Source organism: Homo sapiens, chromosome 15 (assembly GCF_000001405.40).
Source record: "Homo sapiens chromosome 15, GRCh38.p14 Primary Assembly".
In the NCBI taxonomy this organism is placed as follows: Eukaryota; Metazoa; Chordata; class Mammalia; order Primates; family Hominidae; genus Homo; species Homo sapiens.
In genome coordinates this window covers 98,706,845-98,730,641 of record NC_000015.10, presented here as the reverse complement: position 1 = coordinate 98,730,641, position 23,797 = coordinate 98,706,845, and the positions used below count along the sequence as shown (strand labels likewise).

The 23,797-nt window shown below is 46.0% G+C and overlaps 1 protein-coding gene across 7 annotated transcripts in view, besides 2 other annotated features; it reads right to left on the bottom strand.

Annotated features, from left to right (window-relative positions):
- Positions 1-23,797, bottom strand: part of IGF1R (insulin like growth factor 1 receptor) — a 315,992-nt gene that overhangs the window by 233,889 nt on the left and 58,306 nt on the right. For all 7 annotated transcript variants that reach the window (NM_000875.5, XM_047432443.1, NM_001291858.2 and 4 more), the window contains exon 2: positions 22,535-23,080. In NM_000875.5, the coding sequence (NP_000866.1) occupies positions 22,535-23,080 (546 nt within the window). The remainder of the gene's footprint in view (positions 1-22,534; positions 23,081-23,797) is intronic.
- Positions 11,643-16,131: an enhancer, noted in NCBI's record as "VISTA enhancer hs1932". NCBI's record gives its function as "enhancer in: heart[6/14]" and the evidence as "EXISTENCE:transgenic organism evidence [ECO:0001131][PMID:17130149]".
- Positions 17,052-17,754: an enhancer, noted in NCBI's record as "H3K27ac-H3K4me1 hESC enhancer chr15:99256117-99256819 (GRCh37/hg19 assembly coordinates)". NCBI's record gives its function as "activates a minimal SCP1, AML or CMV promoter by ChIP-STARR-seq in primed H9 embryonic stem cells {active_cell/tissue: H9 hESC(primed)}" and the evidence as "EXISTENCE:reporter gene assay evidence [ECO:0000049][PMID:30033119]".

Here is a 23,797-nt window from a genome sequence, read left to right as displayed (position 1 = left end):
CCCAGTCCTCAGGGGGTAGCCATGAAGGAGGGAAACAAGTGACTCTCTTCCATCCTCATTTTCACAGGAAAACAGGAGGCTGACCTCAGAGGCCAACTCTATGTGCACTAAGTATGGGGCACTCAGCTGAGAGCCAACAGAGTCAAAATCAGGGTGAAAAGGACCTTAATAACATCCTTTTTAAGCCGCTAGCTGCTACCCATTGGTAGTTCTCAAAATCAGTTTAAGGCATCTCTTACCAGCATTAGAATAGAAGAAAGTATCGTGGTACTACATGAATAGAAAGCGTGAGTGCTGTGTCAGACAAGAAGTGATTTCAAAACACTTATTTTAGTTATATACTTATTCTGTCCTGGGATCATGGTGTATATCTATGTTTTACTGTGGGTCTAGTTAAAAAAAAAAAAATTGAAAATCACAGATGTAGTATATCACCTTTCTTTCCAAGAGAGGTGAGGTGACCTGCCCAAAGTAATTAAGCAGTGGTACACTCAGACATTAGAATTTGGATCTGCCTCATTTTTAAACATTCTTTCATCAACAGAAAACTCAACACAGACATCCAGTGGGATGAATTTAGAAACAGAACCATATTTGAGAAATTAAGGGAGCCACTGACACAAATTCTGCTTTTAACTGTGCCTTTAGACCAGATGCCCTTTAAATAGGCCCTTGTGATCCCATAACTTTTTAATTACAATATCATGGACCTGCAGACAGGGTGTTACAAGTGAGAACTGTGCTTTCCAAGGGTTATGCAGGGCAAACCTTATCCAGGCCTGCCAGAAGCACATGGCATTTTCAAGGCCATTTACTAAGGAAAGACACACTCACACACATCGTGCCAAGGGCATTCTATGCCAGACCCCAGCCAGGACCTACTGTTAGGGCTCTTCAAGAGGATGAAGGCGAATCCTAGGCCTCTATTCCTGTGAAGGCCCAGCTCTTACTGGGAAGGGCAGGGAGGCCCCCAGATACTGTCTCCAGGGAACGGGACAGTTCACCAAGACCACACACACAGCCTGCTCTCACTGAAGGACAATGAGATGTGGAAAGGTTCACTTAAAAAAAAAAAAAAGCACATTAGGGTTTTTCTTAATGCACAGTACAATGAAGAAAACAGAAAACAGACCAGAACCCTATTGTCCAGATAACACCTACTGACCTTTGAAAAGAATAGAAGAAATAAAAGCACATGGTTAAAAAATTCCAAACAGTGCAAAAATAATACAAGATTACCTGTGGAGGTCACCAAGCACTTCCGGTTCCTTTCCATGAAAAATAAGTGCTTATTACTTTCTGGGATTCCTTCTCAAAAACTTCTTAATGATTGAACCAGCATTCACCAGCAAACATGCTCTTTTTAAATTAAGCCCTGAAGAATCAGAGTACATATAATGCTCTACACCTTTTTCCACTTAATTTATCTCAGAACAAAGATCTAACCTTTCAAAGAACAGCTGTTGTAGTGAGAATTCCACTCTTTGGAAATGTATAAATCAGACACAAATTCAAAATGCAGTATTTTTTGTGTCAGCCTTGTAATCCTTTAACAGTGAGTCCTATGGGAATTTAAAAATTATGATAGTATCAGCTAATATTTCATTGAGGCATTGTGCCATGTCTGGCCCTGGACTAACCCCTTTTCTTTACCTCTCACAACGACCTTAGAAGGAAGCTGAGTGTCCACAGTCGTGTAGCTGAGAGGCCTTAGGAAGGTAAATTCTCTTCACCAATGTGCAGAGCCAAGAGGTAGCACAGCCAAGATTTTAAGCCAGATCTGTCTGATTCTACTACCACCTACTACAAAGAGCTTTCTTGTCATAGGATAAAGGTGCTGGCTTCTCCACCAGAGGAAAGGAAGCCACTTAAAAACTTACAGAGAGGGTGATCACCAAAGGCCACCAGCTGGCCTCGGGAGAGTGCAGAATGCACTCCCAGAGCTAGGATGAAGAAGCGATGGGGGCCTGACCCCGCCCAGGCGGCCCTGGGCATCAGCATAGGCACCTCACTGGGTTCACAATGGCTCAGAACATGCTCACCTGCTTGAGCTCAGCCTCTTGAACGTCTGCTGCTAATAGCCGCTCTTCAAGCAAAGCACATGTCATGAGACCTATTCAAATACAACTGAGTGGGACCCTGAAACTGGGGCTGGCAATGGTGGGAGCACTAAGTCAGGCCCTCTTGCTGGGAGGTGATGTGAAGAGGGCCACTTCTCATCCCTGCTCTGCTGTCCCCTTAACCGGGGTCTTGAGCAGTGGAGGAGGAGCTCAGGCCCCTCCAGTCAAAGACAGTCCAGGCTGAGTCTAGACAACCCGACCATTCTCATCCCCACCCAGCCCGGCCAGCCTTTCACAGACAGGCACCGGGATCTGTGATGGCCAGCGGCAACAACAGGCGTGATTTCTCCTAGGACACATCACTTTTCACCAAGAAGCCCATCTTGAATAGCTGGGGGTGTGTTTACAGATCCAGGAAAGCTCAGAGCAAAAATACTTAGTTAAAAAGCAAGTTAAAAAATGCATCTTCAGGGCAACCCGCTTGGGTCCCTTTCCATGCTGTGGAAGCTTTGTTCTTTCACTCTTCACAATAAATCTTGCTGCTGCTCGCTTAAAAAAAAAAAAAAAAAAAAAACAATGCATCTTCAGTGAGTACAGTGGCTACCTCGTGTTCCTTTTTTATTTGATGGGAAATAAAGGGGAAGAGAGATTTACTTTGAGTCGGCAGGCCAGATCTGCAACAGGGACTGGAGAACTTTCCAGGCCCAGCAGCCCCGGCCTGGCCCGCATTCCTTCGGGGTGACAGCGCACCAGGGCCGGCCGGCGGTTTCCCCAGTCCTTCTGCCGCCGCCACACAGTGACTAAGCCCACAGGAATCCCAGCGGGTGCTGGACCCACCCGGAGGACAAGCAGGCCGAGAGGAAAGCCTGTGACTGCCCCGACCAGCAGAAGAAGACCTGCTCTCTGCCCTCCAGCCCCTGGGTATAATGCAGGAGAAGCTGGGGAGGCTGTCCAAGGCAGGAGCAGCCCCACCTGAGCTCAGGTGACAGCCCATCTCACTTGCAAGGCCTTGCAGAGACACCCAAGCCCCATACTCAGGACTGACTTTGCTGAGGAATCAGAGAGCAGAGTTTCAGGGTGCACCTTTATCTCCCTGAGAAAGACTCCCAGTAAAAGTCGGTTGTTTGCCCAAAGGAGGCAGAATTAAACTACGGGCAGGCAACCACAAGTTTGCTTTGACAAATAAAACAAGAAAAAAAAAATGTAAACCTACACTGGCCCAATCACTTTCCAAGAGCCTAATTCATGGTAAAACCAGCAGTCCAAGATCTGATTTTGATAAATCACTTCCTGACTCTTCATATATTTTACTCTCTGTACGACTGTTATTTTTATTTTGCAAAAGAATTAAAAGTTTACTGGAAACCACATACCTTTCTTCCTTTACGACAACCTGTCATTCATCACAGCTAAAACATCCACCCATTAAATGATATTTTTACAAGATTAAAGAATGGTTTTAAAAAGAAAGAAATCTCCTTAGTTAAAAATGAACCAAACAAAGGTACCTAATCACTGATCAGCATCAAAGTTTTGTTCCACACATGAAAATAATTCATCAGGCCAGGTGTGGCGGCTCACACCTAGAATCCCAGCACTTTGGGAGGCCAAGGTGGGTGGATCACCTGAGGTCAGGAGTTCGAGACCTGCCTGGCCAACATGGTGAAACCCCATCTCTACTAAAAATACAAAAAATTAGCCGGGCATGGTGACAGATGCCTGTAATCCCAGCTACTCAGGAGGCTGAGGCAGGAGAATTGCCTGAACCCGGGAGGCGGAAGTTGCAGTGAGCCAAGATCACACCATTGCACTCCAGCCGGGGTGACAAGAGCAAGACTCTATCTCAAAAAAAAAAAAAAAAAAAAAAAATCATCAATGTAAAAATGAATTCTGCCTAAGGAGGGGAATTTAAAAAGTCAGAGAAAAGCAAGGAATTAAAATTCAGAAACAAGCTGTTTTATAATTAAGCATCTGCAATTTAACTATACTATGTCACTCTGATTTTCATCTTTCCTTTCTCATAAGAGTCATAGATGTTCTCCGCTCATATAAAGGTGGTAGGAAGGGAGGGAGGGCGCCATGCTAATAGAACCCACATCATGTTTACTAAGAACTAGGCAGATGTGGACAAAAACTCCAAAGATTTAAAAGTTTCTTGACTAGAGCAAGACATCTTCAAGAACTCATCCAACATGGTGCCTAGCCTTCTTCAGAGCAAGACAAGCCACTAAGTCATCCCTGGGTGTGTGTTCAGCAGCAGCCCACTAGGAAGTATTAGGTGAGCTACGATGGGAGAGTAATGGGCAGGAAAATCATAGGAAAGCAGGTCTGGATTTGGGCTGGCTGCTTAGCTGCATGGCACCTTGCACAAGTTATAATCAGGTCTCTTGCCTCCATTTCCTCTTCCACAAAAAATGGAACAGTAATATCCATATCCACCCTACAGACTGTGCAAAGATTAAAGAATACTGGCGAGGTGCCTGGCACCTAGTCATTGTTCAGTGAATGCCAGTCATGATCACGAACACAGTCCTTGCTAAGAGGGTGATATGATTTGGCTGTGTCCCCGCCCAAATCTCAACTTGAATTGTGTCTCCCAGAATTTTCATGTGTTATGGGAAGGACCCAGGTGAGGTAATTGAATCATGAGGGCTGGTCTTTCCCGTGCTATTCTCATGATAGTGAATAAGTCTGACGAGATCTGATGGGTTTATCAGGGTTTCCACTTTTGCTTCTTCCACATTTTCTCTTGCTGCCACCATGTAAGAAGTACCTTTTGCCTCCTGCCATGATTCTGAGGCCTCCCCAGCCATGTGGAATTGTAAGTCCAATTAAAACCTCTTTTTCTTCACAGTCTTGGGTACGTCTTTATCAGCAGCATGAAAACAGACTAATACAGAGGGTAATCACCACAGGAATCCAGACGGGGAGTGGGGTCAGTTCACTGGTACAAGGATCTTGATCAAAGGAACTCATTTCCCACCTGATCCCTATTCACTCCAGGGTCCACATCTAGGAGTCCCAAAGACCGGCATGCATGGGTTGGGTCAACAGGCTGCCTGGAGGTTTACCTCATTCCAGGAGTTGGAGAAGCACTGTGGGAGGAACTGGGGTTCAAATCTGCAAACCTCCAAAACATAGGAGGGATCTTCTAAAAGTTTCTGAGAGTTCTAACCACAGATTAGGGGAAAAAAAAGATGCCCTTTCATCAACATGGGATGAAATGCTAGGATTTAGACATGGTTTTTTTGTGTGTTTTTGTTTTTGTTTTTTTCCAATTCAGAAAACACTAAATCATGTAAAAATCTTGGAAGAGGAGATACAGATTCTGACCTAATAAGATGCTACTGCTCTGATTCCACCATCAGAATACCTTTAGGTTGGCACCACTTGCAATGTATTAGTGCAGCAAACTGCACGAATCCCCTCATTAGATCCAGGGCCCCTGAGAGTAGAAAGGGGAGTGGGGCAGTAAATGGCCAGGGAACAGGAGACAGTGGGCTGGAGGGTGTCCCAGGTTCTAACCCCAGCTGGGCCTTCAGAGCCCTGGTGTGGTCTGGGCTAACCTCTCAATCCTTTTCCAAGTCTTAAGTTTCCTTCCAACTCACTGTGATTCTTCCAGAGAATTACACAGGGCAGGTGAAATTATTTCCTAGAAAATGCCCATGGAGTACAGAGGTTCTCACTGAACTTCTCTATTCCAGGGCCGATGCCTTTGTTTTAATGGCAGCGCATCATCGACTAACCAAATCCACAGGTACTGCACAGGTCTGAAGGATCCGGCTCTGAGGGATACCGAGGCATCCGGGGCTCCCTCTGTCTTCTTTCTGTGTACACAAGGTACCTTCAGTGACTGCAAGGAAAATCCTCTTGCTTTCTACATCAGAGCACGTTCCATAAGGGCAAAGTGCTCCAGTCATCACCTCCTGTTTTCTCTAGCCAGACCTGCTCTGAGCTGGAGACCCACTGCAGTCAAGCAAACTTTTAGACACAAGAAAAAATGACAACGTGTCTATTACAGAGGTCTCAGCTTAATCAGAAAATGGCACTGTGGGCCAGAGAAAAGCTGACGGTGATGGCTCCTACCCCAGTGCAATAGGCAGATCCATGAGAGCTCTCACTGGGGCTGCTGGAGAACTGGCTGCTCTCTCCCACTTTAGTCACCCCTGCTTCATAAATGTCTGTGCCAGAAAGCCACAGTGAGCCCCCAGTGGCCCCTGTATTACCCACCCAGAGAGACAACCTCTCCCCTCCATGAAACTCATTTCTGGGACCCACACCTAAACTTTAACACAAATCAGAAAAGTTGAGACTCCTTAAAAATGCGTTTTGCAAGCTCACAGGTTCTTGGTTCATAAGTGATACTATGGAACAATCTGGTTGGGAAGGGTGGCACACAATAGAAAAAGTTAATGATTATCTGGTGTAGTTTGCTTTAGTCTGTGAGTTCAAAAGTCTCCTCATTTACAATAACCTTAAAGGATAACAAAATAAAGTCCTAGAAGAAATGTAAATTTAATTATTTCCATTTTCTCAAAATATTAATTGCTGATACAATTAAATGGATTGGCCTAAACTGCTCCAAAGCTTTTCCTATCTGCTAATTAAATTTGCCCTCGCTGCCATAATACAAATTCTGGGAAACCTTCTGGCTTCTGGGCACACTATGTAGGATGAGAGAATCAAATCCATTCAGTCCTAATCTACTGCCCCACTTAATAAACAAAAAATGTTAAGAACATGCATTTAAAAAAAAATCTAAATGCCTTCATAATATAGATACAGCAAGTCTTCCCATAATGCTAATGAAGGCTTCTCACAAGAGTTTAATGAGCTAGTATCCAGTATCTTCCAGGCCCGGGGATGTTAGCTTCTCCTCCCTTAGTACAGAGGTTGCTCAGACAGCAATCAGCATCATGATCCATACTAAATGCAACGGCCCTACTCTTTATCTTTATAGTCTGTAATCCAAGTCACTCTATTAACAGGCAGAAAAATCCCAGCTAGCTTCAAAACTCCCTCATCTTTCCATTATTTCAAATGACAACCTTTTCCCACTACTTTATCTTTGCATTAAGTACCAGGAGCTGAAAGATGCAATCAATTTAATATTTCCCTCTGCCCATTTACATGACTTATTTGTTTCGGCAGATCTTCTTTGCCACAAATCCTTCATTTGCCCATTCATGTCTGCATACTTAACATAGATTTAATATTTCTCCAGGCCAAAGATCATATGCAGAGTTTTTCTTTGACTGGAGGACAGAAGAGACAAGGAGAGAAGAAGAACGTCTGGAATTCCTTTGTTCTTGGAGACAACTCCAGAGAACAATTCTCAATAAGAAAAGTTATAAAAAGCTTCAATCAGCACCCTCACGTTTCTGATTTAAAGTTGGGGTGGGGGAGCGTGGAATAAAAAGAGAGGGAACTAAACATGTACGAAACTCATTCTAGCGTGAGACGTTGTCAGGTACTTTGCTGACATTTTATCATAAAACTCTCTCTCGGTGGCCACGGGTTACAGCAGGGAACCTAAAACCTAGACTTGGGACCCCAAGTCCTCGCTTCACAAAAATCATGACATGGGTGTTGAACCAGTTTCTGTTCAGCCACACAGAAACTCATTCAAGTCCTTCAAGAGGAAGAATCCCACCTTCAACTCCACACCTCCTCCAGCACCAGGCGGAGATGCTCCTGATTCCACTGAGAATCCTCCTGCCCACACAGGCAGGAAACTCGGGGCACTCAGTGCCTGCTCTCTCACCCACTGCATGCCCACAGACCTCTGCAAAGGCAGCTCCTTTATTCCCCCAATCCTGAACATCTGTTAAGTGCTAAGGCCTCAGAGGGGGCTTTTTAAACAGGCACAAAGTAGAAACTACCAGCTTTCCACCACTCCTACCTCATCCATCAGAAAACAGAGCCACCAGCCTTCCAGGGTAGGGTTCATCAAGCCTTTTCCTCCCCATGGAACTAAGCTGTACACAGTAGTCAGAGATAAATAATGTCTAAGCCAAACCGGCTTGAGGGCACATATGGAGGTGGGGGGCAGAGGGACACTGGCCTGGGACCTAAACCACCATTCAGACCTCATCTTTACAAAATAGTATACTCCACATTCCAAATGCCTGGCAAAGTTTTGCATTACAACTCATTCACGAGTCGAGGGCCTTGTATACAGTGTTCGGCAAACAGTACTGAGCAAGTGTGGACATTTCTCATGAAAGGCCTCGATTTCAACCAGACCCAAATATTCTTTTAATCCAAAGTTCCAAATGTGGAACTTACCCTCCTCTGAGCTCCTAGCACTTGTTGCCTCTATTTCTCTTCTGGCAAAAGTCGTAGAGTGTCTCGTCACACCGCATAAGTTGTCTCTCTCTTTTAAATGTCAAGTGTTTTTATCTTATCTCACAACAGAATCCTAGTTTGTGTCATCTCATACTGCCTAGCATGAGACTTGCACAAAACGGGGGCACCTTAATTGTGCAGCTGAGGGACACGATGGAAACTCTGGCCAAGGAACTAGCAAGGAAACCTGCAAAGACACATCCAGACCTAACCTAGGTGCGACTTATAACTCAAACCTCTTCCCCAGTCTCCCTCTCTATGGGAGTGATATGTACACAATGTGTTCGCTTCCACTTCCTTAATGATGGTGGACTGACATGAATAAGAATGATGGGGAGGACCATAGGACCCCAAATAATTCACAAGTCAGCAAAGTGAAGAACTCACCTAGGCCATACATGTGCACACATTCTCTAGCACACACACTTACTCTCACACTCTACTGTTATTTAGTTTGTTTATTCATTCCAGCTAGAACCAGGGACCAATTTGGTCATCCAAAAATGTTTTGTAAATCTCTTTATAAAATTCCTGCACCTCTCAGGGCCAGCACCAGAGCAAGGCAAGATTGGTGTCCAGGATACAAAATGTAAACAGGTGCTCCCTCTCATGGTGCACTACCCTGAGAGAAGACCTCTTTTGTCTCTGGTCCAAGATTTCTCACTCTGGTCCAAGATGCCACCACTGCTGCCACTGCCATCGCCACCTCCTCCTCCTTCCCTTCCTCCTCCCCCAAGAGAACTATGAGGACCAAACCACTCAGACACTAAGTGGGGTCAAGCCCACATGGGAGATGGATTTTTACAGAGTATCTCCTCCACGGGCTTCCCATTAGCTGTGAGGTTGGAGAATCAAACATTATAAACAAAGCATGAGTCCTAACCCACAAGTGGTTTCTCAACTGTTTGGGGAGAGAGATGAATGAGGAGTAAACAAGGTCCTCTGAACCTACTGATAAAAAGTACAGAGAAACCATCATCACTGACCAAATAACCCAGCAATGGATGAGCACAAAAGCAACCTGGAAGCAAGAGTCCTCAGTAAGGAAGATTTGGGGGGCTTCATGGAAGATCAAGTGGGTGATGGTTAAGGAGAAACCACGAAGAGCGTAGCCTCAGTAGGTAACGTCTGCTCCAGCTAGAGCTCACCATGCATGCACACCAAACCCAGATGCCGAAAACCAAAAAATACAGCAGAACGCACCCAACTCCCAAACCACTGAGAAAGTATTTTAATTTTGCTTTGATCACTCCAGCTGCGCTTCAGAGTCCCCAGCATTTCAGCAGCATCATAGAAGAAGACATCAATCACTGGCCATGGCACAAGGAAACTCCTGCTTGGCTATCGGGCTGCTCAGATTCTGGATGAGGGAAAGCTTACTTTAGTGGAAAAGAATGACTTAAATGAATTTAAATTCATTCCACATAATCGAGTTACATCAGCATTTCTCATATGCACTTATGAATAATTCACTTTGGTAACAGCAAAAGCCAGACCAGAGAAAGTCACTTCAAAGATCTAAGACTTAACATCAATCCTACCTGAATTTCCTGCTCTCAACTCCTTCCCTAACCACTTTATTTCCTTCTGCCCTATCACTGAGGTGCTTTGCCAGCCTCCTGTCCTACATCCGTTATCCCTCAGTAAGCTCTCTGGAACTTTCCAATTGCAGCCACCTCCTAATGTCCACAGCCTCCTCTTCTAGATCTAGTTTCGTAGGCAGTCCCTAAGGGTAGGGCCCATCCTAAAAAGTTCGACTGCTTCATACCATTCCAAGTCTAGAACATGTCCTCAGTCTCTAGTAGTGTTTACTGAAAGCCACGGCCAACAGATCTATCCGAGGTCCCCAACAACCTTGTCTTCAAAACTGAATCTCAGAGCTGGAAGGAAAGTCAGTAGAAGAGGCCAGATCGTGCTTTCTGCAATAGACAATGGTGCTTAAGTGTACACAATTTTCATGCAAATTCCCCCGATCATGAAGCTGGGCTGCTCCCTATACTTCTTGTCATTTGATTCTCCAGGCCACCTGCCTCTCCAGCCCAGCTTTATAATGGTAAGGCACTGATGAGTTTGCATTTATTTAGATACACTGGAGGGATTTTGCGACTGGAGTTACAGGAGGCTGAGGAGCTGGCATCTGAAAGTCCATGCTTCACGCTTTTCAAATGCACTATGTATAACCAAGCTCATTTCCAAAAACAGAATCTGAACTAGCTCATAATAAACCATTCACCTTTTATTTTTTGCTGAAGGGGTCAGAGCATCATCCCAATTACCATTTCTCTCTAATGACCACTTACTCCCTTCTTACACATTTTCATCAGCTCTTTATTCTACACTGAGTATTTCCAAGAATTAGGATAACACTACCGCCCAATAAGATAGAGTTGGGGTTACCCAAATAAGCAACAGAAGCTTTCCAGTGGGACCGAGTCAAGTCAAGGGTCTCAAGTCCCCCCACCCTAAAGCACTGAACACGAAGTTCAGGGAGCCTGTGTCTGAGGCCTAAGCACTTGCCCTGCATCACAATGAGCAGAAGACACAGGAGGCACGACAGCCGTCATCACTGCACAGCCACCAGTACACCTCGAAGCCAATTAATCCTGCAAAACAAATTCCTCTCAAAATGGCAGTCTGTTAGGTCAAGTTTGGCTGTTTTGTTAATCGCCTATCAACAGAAACAGCTTTGCTAGGCACACCCAGAAGTTCATCTCTCCTCATCACCCACCTTTGGCACCCAGTGACTTTTCCAAGGAGGATCTTTTTCCCCCCTCAGCAAACAAGAAATATTTGGTGAGCTAAAGAAGCATTCTTCTGAGAAAATTATACATTCTCAGAATTCCATTCATAAAGGACTACTGGTCACAAAAGAATGGCCAGGGGTAAGGCAGGGGTGGGAGGAGGAAGGGCAGGAGACCCAACGGATGGTGCTGCCTGGACAGTCCCTGAAGTGATAAAGAGTTAGAACCAGACACACACTTCTGCATTCAGCTGCTGTCTTTCCTTGTGAGTGGAAAAACACACTCAGTACATTCTCTGCAATCCTGCTTAAAACCTCTTCTAAAGCTTCTTTGACACAGTTATTCAAAAGCTTCTAAAAGTAGTATCGACGTATTACAAAATAATCCAATCATTTCAAGTTCACTGAGGAAGAGAACAAAAATATATCCTTACATCCTATCTGAAGAATAGTCTAAGCACCTAATAATATCATCTACTTAGCAAAGCAGAAGGGGCCATTCAGAGGTCAAGAAATAGGAACGGAAACGTTGTACTAGGTTACCACCCCAGGAACAAAGCTGGTCTTTTCTAGGACCCAAGGATCTGACTAGTTTCCATTTGTCTCTGCATTACAACTAATACCTCTGGGAGGTGGGGGTGGGGGTGATCCTAATTCAAACAGTAAGGCTGCCCAGGAAGTATTTCTAATAATATCAACCTTCGTCTTTCCTTTTTTGTACTGTAGGCTCTTTGTCTCCTGATCTTCTTTTATTTTGTTCCCCCTTTTTACTACTAAGCCCAACTCCTGGTCTCAGCAGCTGCTAAAACACGTCCAAGCACTTTGCATCTATCCGGAAATCCAGAATGGCAGCCTGGGTTCACAGATCTGCTGCCAAGGGCAGATGTATGCGCACTGCAGCTGGGCCCTCCTCCCCAGGGGCCCCATGGGCACAAGCAGCTCAGGGTGGGCCAGCGAGCCTCAGTCACACTGGCTGCCCTCAGCCCCACCTTCTGCATGAAGGGTGGCTAAGCTCCATGGGCCACTCTGCATTAACCCCAGGAACGGCAACCTCACTAACTTCATCCAGGTCCCTTCATTAGGACTTGCAAAAACAAATCAGATGCAGCTACACGTTGGGGCAGTGGGTGCAGCTTCTCTAAACAAGGCCATGGGTATCAAGCAACCGACAGTCCCTAAATACGCTGCCTCTGTTCCCATCCCACATGGATTCTGGGAAAAATGGCAGGAAGAAAGAAGAGAGGACTGGGCGCTTGTTTGTGACCAAGGCAAAGAAACAAAAAGCGACTTCTGTTCAATAATGAGATGAAACAGAAGCCCGGCTTCGGGCAGAGGCCTGGCATTCCTGCACAACATTTTCCCACCCACCTGATCCCCTTGAACGGAAGGAAGACCTAAGGGAGGACAGAGAGCCAGTGTTTGTTTCCTGCAATGGGGGTGAGAGGAGGAAAATGAAACTAAACAAAACAGGAGAAGAGGCTGGGTGGGAGAATAAAGTGGTACGCACATACACAAACACACACGCACACGTGCACGTGTGCACACATATACCTAGCGTTACCAAAGAAGAGGATAAACAGGCACATGCTTCATCCTGGAGCAGATGGTTGGCTACCTATGTGAGACCTAAAGTTGTCATAAAAATGCACATCTTTGTAATCTTTACCAATAACTGTGCCCACTCTAACCACTTTAATGTTATCCATGCAAACAGACAGAGGCATTTAAAAAATATGGTATTTAATGATTTAATGTCAGTATCATACAAGAATCTATGGATATTTCTTAAATGCTCCCAAATACCAAACTTGCAAACAAAATAAATTCAGTTTCGGAACCAAATAAATAGAGTTTACATATGACTAGGGTGACTCCACTGGCACCCCGATATAGACATATGTACCTCGCTGAATGTTCTGTAAAGATACAGTTTATCTGGACAGACACAAGAATTTGAACAGTACGAATCAAATTAGCAAGAACCACACCTACAGTATGGCCCGCTATTTACAATAATTGAAATTCTACAATTTAGAAAAGCAATACAGAAGGACCATTTAGTTATGGTAGTGAACATATATAGTCAACACAGCTTAAGACTCAGAATTTTAGATGGTCTTAGAATGCAACTCTTAGATAGTTTAATTTAAAAAAAAAATAGCAGCAGCTGCCACCATTTACCAAAAACCTATGTGCTTGGAAACATGTTAGATGCTTTTCAAATACTGTCCTATTCCTGTCTCACTGAAGGAAGGTGAGGTCTGGCAGCTTTGTCCTAGCACCACATACCTGAGGCAAACAGATGGCACTATCTCAAGGCATCAACGGTCCTTAAACCTTTGCATATGATACCACTTGTCCACACAGGAACGTAGTTTAAAAGAAATACATCCTGTTCTGTACAAAATGATGTATTCTTGCAGATCTCGCTGTTAATATGCCATGGGGAAAACAAGCAGGGGAAAGCTGTACATCCGCATGTGGAGCCACCTAAACATCCTGAAGACCAGTCACACTGAGAGTGAGGGCAGGCACAGGATGGTAGCTTCTGCCCCCACGGACTCCACAATATTGTAAGGAACAGATGCTCAGGGATATCAGGGGTGAGGCCTGGCCAGCCCCATGACATCCTGAAAACCTAACAGCGGCCAAGCTGACCCCGCAGAAGAAGTGATCTAACCTGGATGGTCACCTTCCCTGCCTAAGACTCACCCTTTCCACCGGCCCCAGAAGCCCTTATTCCTCCTTGACTTGAAAAGACAACTGTCCCCCATAAGCCCTCACACCTCCTACCAAGCTCCAAGGACTGTTCTGTTCTTCTGCCTACTCCCGCAATGCAGTTCAAACGTTTACCAGGGCTCTACAGTGAGCTACTTTTCCAAAGACAGAAAAGCAAGGCTATGTGCAATCAGACGAAACTCCAGCTCTCATTGTAACATCCAGCTTAAAGCCATATGTTAGCCAGTGGCAGGTACAGATTAGAACCCAGAATGGTCTAGATTTTGGGTTTCTACTTGGGGTTCCTTCTTCCATATAAATGATCTCTAAATTTCTTAAACCCTGATTCCCAAATTATACATGATGATCAGTGTGCCATTTGATGAGTTATGAACATTTTAAATGCTGCATACCTTGCCTGTATGTACTAGGATCAAAGAGGAGAGAGAGAGAGACAGAGAGAGAGACCAAGCAACACGAACACACAGGCAGATCAGGAAGCAAGAAATCTTCTCAGAGCAGACCACGGAAACCCTCAGTAACTTACTCAATTTTAGAGTTTGAGGAAACGGCACAGGTAGTCCGATGCAAGCCCCCCGAGTTCAAAGAAAGGAAATGGAAGTACAGGGCAGACAGGTGACGTGGCAACCGTCCCTAGGAAAGGCACTGCTGGACCCAGCTGTCCCTGTCCCTCACCAGCCTCACATGCCCAAGTCCCATGTACCCCTGGGGCTGCCATGCTGGCTGCTGAGCCATGGGCGCTGGTTTGGAGATGAACTTCTTCGAGGAAAGCAGCTTCTTATCCCCCAGAAGTTCTGCAGATCATCTGTGCACTTTGGTTTTTACTTAAAATGTGATTTAAACAGCCTGCTCTACTTAATACTGCCTGTGCCACAGACAGAAAAATCCCATCTCCCACCCACCAGCCTCCCTGGAACAAACACCTTGGCTGTCTCTCGCTACCTCCAAGTCAGGGGAACATTCCAACCAGGATGGTGCTCAGAGACCCCACCTTTTATAGCCAGAGTCCCTGATTCACACCATATGCCCAAAGGAGGCGTGTTTCTAAGTGATGCTTCCAACTTCACCACCAGCCAAACTTAACTTTTGAACCACCCTATACACGCAAGTTGAGCAAGGCAATTCAGGACAAGATTAACCACGGGCCCACACGCTCCACGTCATCCCCACTCTGCCGAGAATGTCACACTGGCATACACATGAGGAAAGCAAGACAGAGGTATTAACGCAACAAAGAAAGAGGCTTTTCAAGCACAGGAAGAAACCAGAACAATTGTACAAATAGGTTTAACTGGTGAGAGCTGAAGGGGCTCCAGATATTTTCCAAATACTTGGCATGCAAAAATCACCACAAGTCAGTGGTTCTGAAAGCTTTTTGGTCTCTTAGACGAGATCCCTATTAAAAACTTCTGAAGGAGGCCCAGGATGGTGACACCATCACTAATGACAATTAGCCAAAAGCAAAGTCTTTGAGGCACAAGGCACACGCCCCAAGAAATGAGGTGGGCTAAGCCAGGTCCCAGGGAACCTGCACACAAACTGCTTCACCATCTCGGCAACAAGCGTCGGCAATCAGGCAGAAGAGAATGTGAGCTCCACGCCTGACTATAAAAGGCATAGCAATGAGGCCTGGGGGCATGTGACCCCCTTCTAAATAAAGATCACCCCCACACTGGGAGCAGCTGACCAGAGCAGAGGCCTTCCAGGGCAACCGAGACAAGTTCCTACCAACAACACAAAGCCAGATGCCCCTCTCCTGGCTGCCTTCTCCTCCAGGGTCCACAAGCCCCTCCCAAGAGTCCACCTGAAAATGCAAGCCTGTGTCATGATCGTCTTAGCAGTCTGGGGAACAGTGGCCTGCAGAAGACCAGCAGCAGACCACACAGTGCTTAACAGAAACATCTCAGCTCTTCACAAGTAGCTTAAGTTTAAAAAAAAAATGTTAAGATGAAATACTGCACATCACATGAGTGAAGTCTCACTACAAAGACAATGTGCCCCTCTTCCCCCCATCCAGCAGGTGATTTACACATTCTTTTTTTATTATTATTTTCCTTTCTCAAAGCTAGCCATAAAACTTAGTTACAAAATCTTTTTTTTTTTTTCTCAGACAGGATTTCATTATGTCGCCCAGGCTGAAGTGCAGTGGCACAACCACGGCTCACTGTAACCTCCATCTCCCCAGGCTCAGGCGGATCCTCCCATCTCAGCCTCCCAAAGTGCTGGGACTATAGGCACGTGCCTCCACAACCAGCTAATTATTTAAATTTTTTTATATGAACAAGGTCTCACCATGTTGCCCAGGCCAGTCTTGAGCTCCTGGACTCAAGCGATCCTCCTGCCTCAGCCTCCCCAAATGCTAGGATTACAGGTGTTAGCCACTGCGCCCAGCCTTCAATTTACACATTCTTAAACAGGTCCTCCACTTTGATCTAGCAGGTCAGCCACACCAACCTATAGAGGAAAACGAGGGAAGGAGAGCGCCTCTACTCCGCAAGACAACACTGCCCTTGTGAGCAGTGGCTGACAAACAAGGATATAAGAACGTGGCGGTGGAAAAATGTAGACTTTTTTTTTTTTACTACAACCTGCCTTCATTTTAAGTCAGTGAGATGCCATCAGTGAGATGGCAGTAAAATGTTTTCCTTTTGTCAATAAAAACAGCCATTTACTGCCTTCTCGAAGGCTCCAATCTGCTATTTTCCTGGTTTCTCATTTTGAGGGCAATAGGAAATGCAACAAACTCCAGGACTGCTGCTCCCAGTCAATGCCCTTTTAATTGAAATAAGGCTGCCCCACCAGCTAAGCCAGCTTCCAACACAGCCCGGCCCTGCCTTCCTGGATTTCCTGGCAAAGCCCAGGCCTTCTCACACGCACTCAGGGTGATCTGAGCAGACCACAGGCTGTTCATCCCAATGGGTTAAAAAGTACTTGGAGACTTAGTTGCAGTAAGGTCTTAGGTTTTGTTGGGGTTTTTTTTGTGGGAAAGTGAAGGCATCTGCACCTGAAATGAAATACCAGAAAGCCTCCACAGCAAGCAAACAACAGGCACTTAGGTAAATTCAGCAGGAAGTAAGAAAACCACAGGTACTCAGGAGGATTCACCTCCGTCCCTCCCAGGGCAGAACTGGCCTTCAGCAAAACTGCCTTACAAAGTCATGAATGGCTTCACGTGCCAAGCTTCAACCTTTCAGATGATTTCCATACTTCTCCATCATCTTTGGCCTGGAATCATCCCCACAATGGCAGGAAAGAAAAGAGCTACCCGCCATAGTGGTCCTCTCTGCCAACTAAGAGTTGCAGATGATTCTGGTCAGTACTCCTCAGTAGCAATGACAGCAACAATGACACAGTAAACATCTGCATTTCATAATCCTGGTACAACTGGCTCACCGAAGACTGCCAGGATACGCTACTCTCTGCTCAAGGGGAAAATGTATCTTCCGAACAATAAATCCTTCACTAAGCAGATGCAGTGCTTGCCCTTGGGGTGACAGCATACAGTGGAGGATACACCCAGAATTTACAGTGGGGCAAAAAGTGTCCCATCAGGTGCTGGGAGACAGGCCTCCCGAAATCTGCAGAGCCTTTACATCCTTGAGAGGAAAAGGCAAGGCTAGAGTTCGGCCAGGTGAGCCGTGCCGGCTGGTCAGCACGGGAGAGCACCACTGGGGCCAAGGACACAGCAGGCAGGCGGGAGGGAGTGGCACATGGAGTGTGGCATGTTGTCACGGGGTAGCTGTTGACCACTCAGGAGCTTCACACTGTACCACATGCCTATCCTATAGGGACTTGCTACAGGATTTCAGGTAGGGGAGCTCATCAGTCCAAAGTGCACACTAGATGGCCGGGCGCAGTGGCTCATGCCTGTAATCCCAGCACATTGGGAGGCCAAGACCGGTGGATCGCCTGAGGTCGGGAGTTCGAGACCAGCCTGGTTAACATGGTGAAACCCCGTCTCTACTAAAAATACAAAAATTAGCTGGGTGTGGTGGTGCGGGCCTGTAATCCCAGCTACTCAGGAGGCTGAGGCAGTAGAATCACTTGAACCTGGGAGCCCGGAGGTTGCAATGAGCCAAGATCGCACCACTGCACTCCAGCCTGGGTGACAGAGTAAGACTCTTTCTCCAAAAAAAAAAAAAGTGCATACTGAAAAGCTCCCCAGTGCTCGGTGGAGCCACAGGACACAATAGCAGGAGAGAGGCTATGTCACTGCTGTAAGGGGGAGGAGCAGAGGAACACAGCTGAAGCAGCATTTCCATTCCATTCGGGAGGGAAAGGGCCTGGTATCCAACTGGAGAAGGAAGTGTCCAAAGGACACCCACATTCCTGACATAAGAACCAGGGGAACAAAAGTGTGGCCCACTTAAGAGGGAATAGAAAAGAAAAAAAATAGGCAAAAGTGAGGAAACAGGGAAGACCATCAGAGGCTGTAGTGAAATGCTCGTGGTGGTCTGATATGAATGACAAGTCCTGGGTTCAAAAGGGTTCTGGGATGGATATGAATGACAGGTCCTGGACTCAAAAGGGTTCTGGGCTGGAGATACTTGGAAGTTTAGGTGGAGACAGGAGGCAATGCAGTTACCAGTGGATGAGATGAGAACAAGGAAAGTGAAAAGAGAGCCCAGGACAGAACTCCAGCCATGCTATGATCTGAATGTTTATGTCCCCTCAAAATTCTTATGTTGAAACCTAATCCCCAGTATGATGGCTCTGGGAGGTGATTAGGCCATGAGGGTGGAGCCCTCACAAATGGGATTAGTGCCCTTATAAAAAAGACGCCAGAAAAAAAATCCCTCGCCCCTTCCAACATGTGAAGACAGTGAAAAGGTGCTTCTGTGAACCAGAGTGTGGGCCCTCCCCAGACAGTTAATCTGGTAAGCACCTTGAACTTGGACTTCCAGCCTCCAGAACTGTGAGCAGTATTTCTGTTGTGTGTAAGCCACTCAGGGTATGGGATTTTGTTACAGCAGCCTGAATGGACTATGTCAGGAGACCACCGTTAAAAGCCAGACTGAGGGAAGGGAGACAGAGAAGCGGCACCTGTGGGGGTAGGAAGAGACTCATAAGAGGGTGGCGTTGGAAGACAAGGAAGAAGAATCAACCACACCACATGTCAGGGGGTGCCACACAACTATGTTCTTACTGAAAGGAAACCACTGTACACAGTTCTTTAAGGGTCAATCGCTCTTTAGGAATGACTCAAAAATGTATAAAATCCACTCCTAAATCCAAAAAGAACCGAGAAATACAGAAGTGTGCAGAGAACCCACAGAGGGATCACGTCCATAGAGGGAGTAGAGTCTACTACGCTGCCAGACACTGCAGAGTCACGGCACAGAAGGAGTTTAAAGGACAGTGCCAAGTGAAAACCGCGCAACAGCACGACAAAATCGAGTAGGCTCAACGATTTCACACACACCCTTGACGTGTTTCTCCAGATGTTCTCCGTAGTTCTACAGCCAGCCAACAGAAGATTACCTGAATGGGATTCTTCTGTGCTTAATGTTTTCGAATGGCCATCTTAATGCTTATGTTGAACTCAAGGTAGCCATTCTGCCTGGACTCAATGCCCTTCATGGAGCTCCCCAAATGATTCCTAAGGGTTCTGGCTGGAGAGGTACATGCGGGGCTATGAGCGCTGCAGTGACGACTCAGCCAAAAAGATGATGAGGGGAAGAACTCCTGGTGTTAAAAGAAATGCTCTAAAGCAGCTTACCAACACAGAATGCAAGCCACATCTGTAATTTTAAATTTTCAAGTAGCCACATTAAGAATTAAAAAGAGTCGGGCATGGTGGCTCACACCTGTAATCCTAACACTTTGGGAGGCTGAGGCGGGCGGATCATCTGAGGTCAGGAGTTTGAGACCAGCCTGGCCAACATGGTGGTGAAACCCCGTCTCCAGTTAAAATACAAAAATTAGACGGGCATGGTGGCACATGCTTGTAATTCCAGCTACTTGGGAGGCTGAGGCAAGAGAATCGCTTGAACCCAGGAGACGGAGGTTGCAGTGAGCCGAGATCGCGCCGCTGCACTCCAGCCTGGGTGATGAGAGCGAAACTCCGCCTCAAAAAAAAAAAAAAAGAATAAAAAGGAAACAGGCAGGTGAAATTTAAGAACACATTTTACTTAATCTAATATATCCAAAATGTTATATTTCAACATGTTATCAACATAGTAATTATTAATGAAATGGTGTACAGAGTTTTTGCTATACTATGTCTTGGAAATCTAGTGTATATTTTACACCTAAAGCAGTCCCAATTCGGACAAGCCACAGTTCAAGTACTCAATAAGCCACGTGGCTTACTCAATAAGCGGCTACCACACTGGACAATGCAGGTCTAAATGGAATCTACGCAAACCAAGAGGAAGTTCTGATTCAACTAGAAAATCTCCAAGAAATATGCCCATGCCTGAGTTTTCAGGACAAGGGGAAGGGAAGTCAATTTCCCGGAAAGCAGTTACCAATTTTATATAAGTACTCCATTGTGAAATCACAAGGAACATCAGCAGGGCTGGGATGGTCAAGGAGAAGGCTGCAGGGCGTGGCCTTGGGGAAGCAGGTGACCAACCAACAGGTGATATCAAGGCTCTGTCTGTCACCAGCAGAGCCCACCTTCTAACCATCGTTAACATTTTCACGGTGCTTTTCCTTCCTCCTTTTCATCTTCCAACAGCCCTATGAGGAAGGCAGGCTTTACCCCATTCCACATATGAAGAAACCAAGGCCCAGGCAATTTAAATAACTTGCTCATTTCTAGTCGCCACTCTTAGACTTGGACCCAGAATGCAGGCCTCACCCCTACCCCAGGGGTCTTCAATCAGTAGCTCATCAGAAACAGCCAAAAACCTATGGCAAGACCAAAGTAACTACCTACCTAGTTCGTGAACAACTCTCCACTTAATGACGTTTCATATGGCACCTCCCTTCTCTAAAGAGCTTATGAGTTTTCAAAACATCCTCATGCCCATATATGATCACCACTAAGGGATGTACTGGACTGCCCTAGAAATATCCTAAAAAAGCCCAACTACAGCCCAGAAGGGCTGGCCCATCCAAGGTCATTCCTGGCCCTCATCACCACATTCAACATCTCTTTTCTACTCCATGCTGCCTCCCTTGATAACACCTTTTACTTTTCAGATAAAATTTTTAAATGTCAAGGTTATTTAAAAAATATATTTTGTTGTTTTCTCAAACCAGTGGGTAACTTAATGATAGGGCAGTTTTAATCAACCACACAAGTGACTTTAGCATAAGATCTCCCTCCAACTCCAGCCAACCTTAAAGTGGCCTGACTGCATTCTCAGAGCTCTACAAGGTACTGGCTGCAGCCAGTGGGACCCCTGCCCTCACTAATCAATGTTCACATACGCACTGATCCAATTCTGCAGAATAGAAAAGTGCGTGGCAGATCAGGGTACACAGATCCTTTTCCTGCCTCAGGACTGGTTGAACGGGAACTGAAGGGCTACCTGGGAGGTCTGTCCTTTATTTACTTTACACACTTCACCCCTGTGGGGTCTCGCCTTTTATTTATTTTAGGCAAGTCTAACAATTTGGGGTTTCTTGGTTCTTCATAACTAGAGAACATGGGTTCCTTACATCTTTAACTGGGCCAACACTTAAATAATAGCTATTTATAGCTAACACACTGACTTCAAACCAGTGAGGAAAAGCTTCCTAGCCAATATACATAACTATTGCTGAATGCAATAAGGTGAAGGCTCAGAGTCACATTTTAATACCAAACAGCCTGGTTCTTAAGGAACTGATCACATGAAGGCAAGAGCTCAGTTATTCTCAAGGGAAAATAAGCATATTGCAGATAAATATACAAGAAGCTTCAAAATACCACCATCTGACCCCCAGAACAGTAAATACTTTCCAAAGTTCCTTCACTCGTGAAATCTTAAGATTTTCACAACTGTTCAGTAAACAGGTATAAAAGAACGAAAACAGAATCCCAGAGGTTTAAAAATGCACCCTGCTACACAGCTACCTGCAAGTACAGCCTGAACCTGGGACTTGCAGAAATGGGTCCAGAGGTCTCCCACCTGGGCCAGGTGCTCTGTCATAACCAGGACACCTGAGTATCATAACATCATCACTAGGACCTAAGGACCACTTTCACAGGATATGAGTTAGTGCTTTACCTTCCCTTTATTTAACCATATTCCAAGTCCATTCAAACTAAGGAAGTCCTGCAGAACAAAAAATATCACTTCGCACAAAGGATGAAAGAGCTGACACATAAGCAGCCCCCAGCTGCCAAGGCTCAGGGACTTCCAAGCACACCAGGTCACCTTTCTCATCAGGAATTCAAAGCTGAAGGTCAGCAAGTGTCTAGCCCAGGAGTGTGCTGGATTATTTCTAACATGTGATTTGAACAGTCTTGACAGCAGCCATGATGGCCTCCAGCCACGCCACAGTCCCGCAATCCAAGAGTCCCAGATGCAAAGGAAAGCCAACCAAGACCCCCACTGGGAACCACTTCCGCACAGCAGGCATGCCACGTCCTAAATGCAACACGACTGCACCCTGCCCAGCGGAACTCGTGCACTCAGAAGAGAAGGGAGGTCAAGGAGGAGGAGAGGAGAGAGAGAGGCAGAGAGAAAGCAGCAGTCAGCATCATTCTTACTTTTCTGGCAGCGGTTTGTGGTCCAGCAGCGGTAGTTGTACTCATTGTTGATGGTGGTCTTCTCACACATCGGCTTCTCCTCCATGGTCCCTGGACACAGGTCCCCACATTCCTTTGGGGGCTTATTCCCCACAATGTAGTTATTGGACACCGCATCCAGGATCAGGGACCAGTCCACAGTGGAGAGGTAACAGAGGTCAGCATTTTTCTCAATCCTGATGGCCCCCCGAGTAATGTTCCTCAGGTTGTAAAGCCCAATATCCTTGAGATTGGTCATCTCGAAGATGACCAGGGCGTAGTTGTAGAAGAGTTTCCAGCCGCGGATGACCGTGAGGTTGGGGAAGAGGTCTCCGAGGCTCTCGAGGCCAGCCACTCGGAACAGCAGCAAGTACTCGGTAATGACCGTGAGCTTGGGGAAGCGGTAGCTGCGGTAGTCCTCGGCCTTGGAGATGAGCAGGATGTGGAGGTAGCCCTCGATCACCGTGCAGTTCTCCAGGCGCTTCAGCTGCTGATAGTCGTTGCGGATGTCGATGCCTGGCCCGCAGACTGAAGGGAGACAAGAGGGTAAACGTCTCAGTTAGAAGGAAATAATTTTTAAACTATTTTCCAAACAATAATACAGTTGGTTTTCAGGAATCCTGTATTATTATTAAAGAAATGAGGTTCAATTGTTCACTGCAGAGCTGTGGGTTGCAGACTGACAGTTTAGGTGGCTAACCAGTTAGCTGGCATTTATACAGTGCCAACACTGGACCAGACGCTGTGCAACACACTCCAACCGACCATGGGAGAGGCCATCCCCGTTAACCGTGCAAACTAAAGCTTACAGCCCAGAGGCACACAGAGGCAGAGGCGAAAGTTAAATCTGCAACCCAGGCCAGCCGGACTCCACCACCGCACACTCCTGGTCCGTTCTGCAGAGCGTCAGTTGCCAAGGCCTGAACGACAGCTCAGCAGCCAAGTATCAATAACTTACTACTGCACCCTGCCTGAAGGACACAGGGCAATCAATCTACTCTACACTGGAGAACCGTCACTGTGACTTGTAAAGTGGGGACTAAAAAACGCATGCTTCCATGCTTCCCACTACCATTTGACATAAGCCGAGTAGACTGTGTTCTCTCCACACGTGCATTAATGTAGACATAAAGGATAACCTAACAAGATTAAAAACGTGATTTTTTTATGAATAAAAGCAGCATAAACTCCAACTTTAAGTTTTATTGATCAAGAAAGCATGCTTCCTACAGAGTTTAGAGGTAA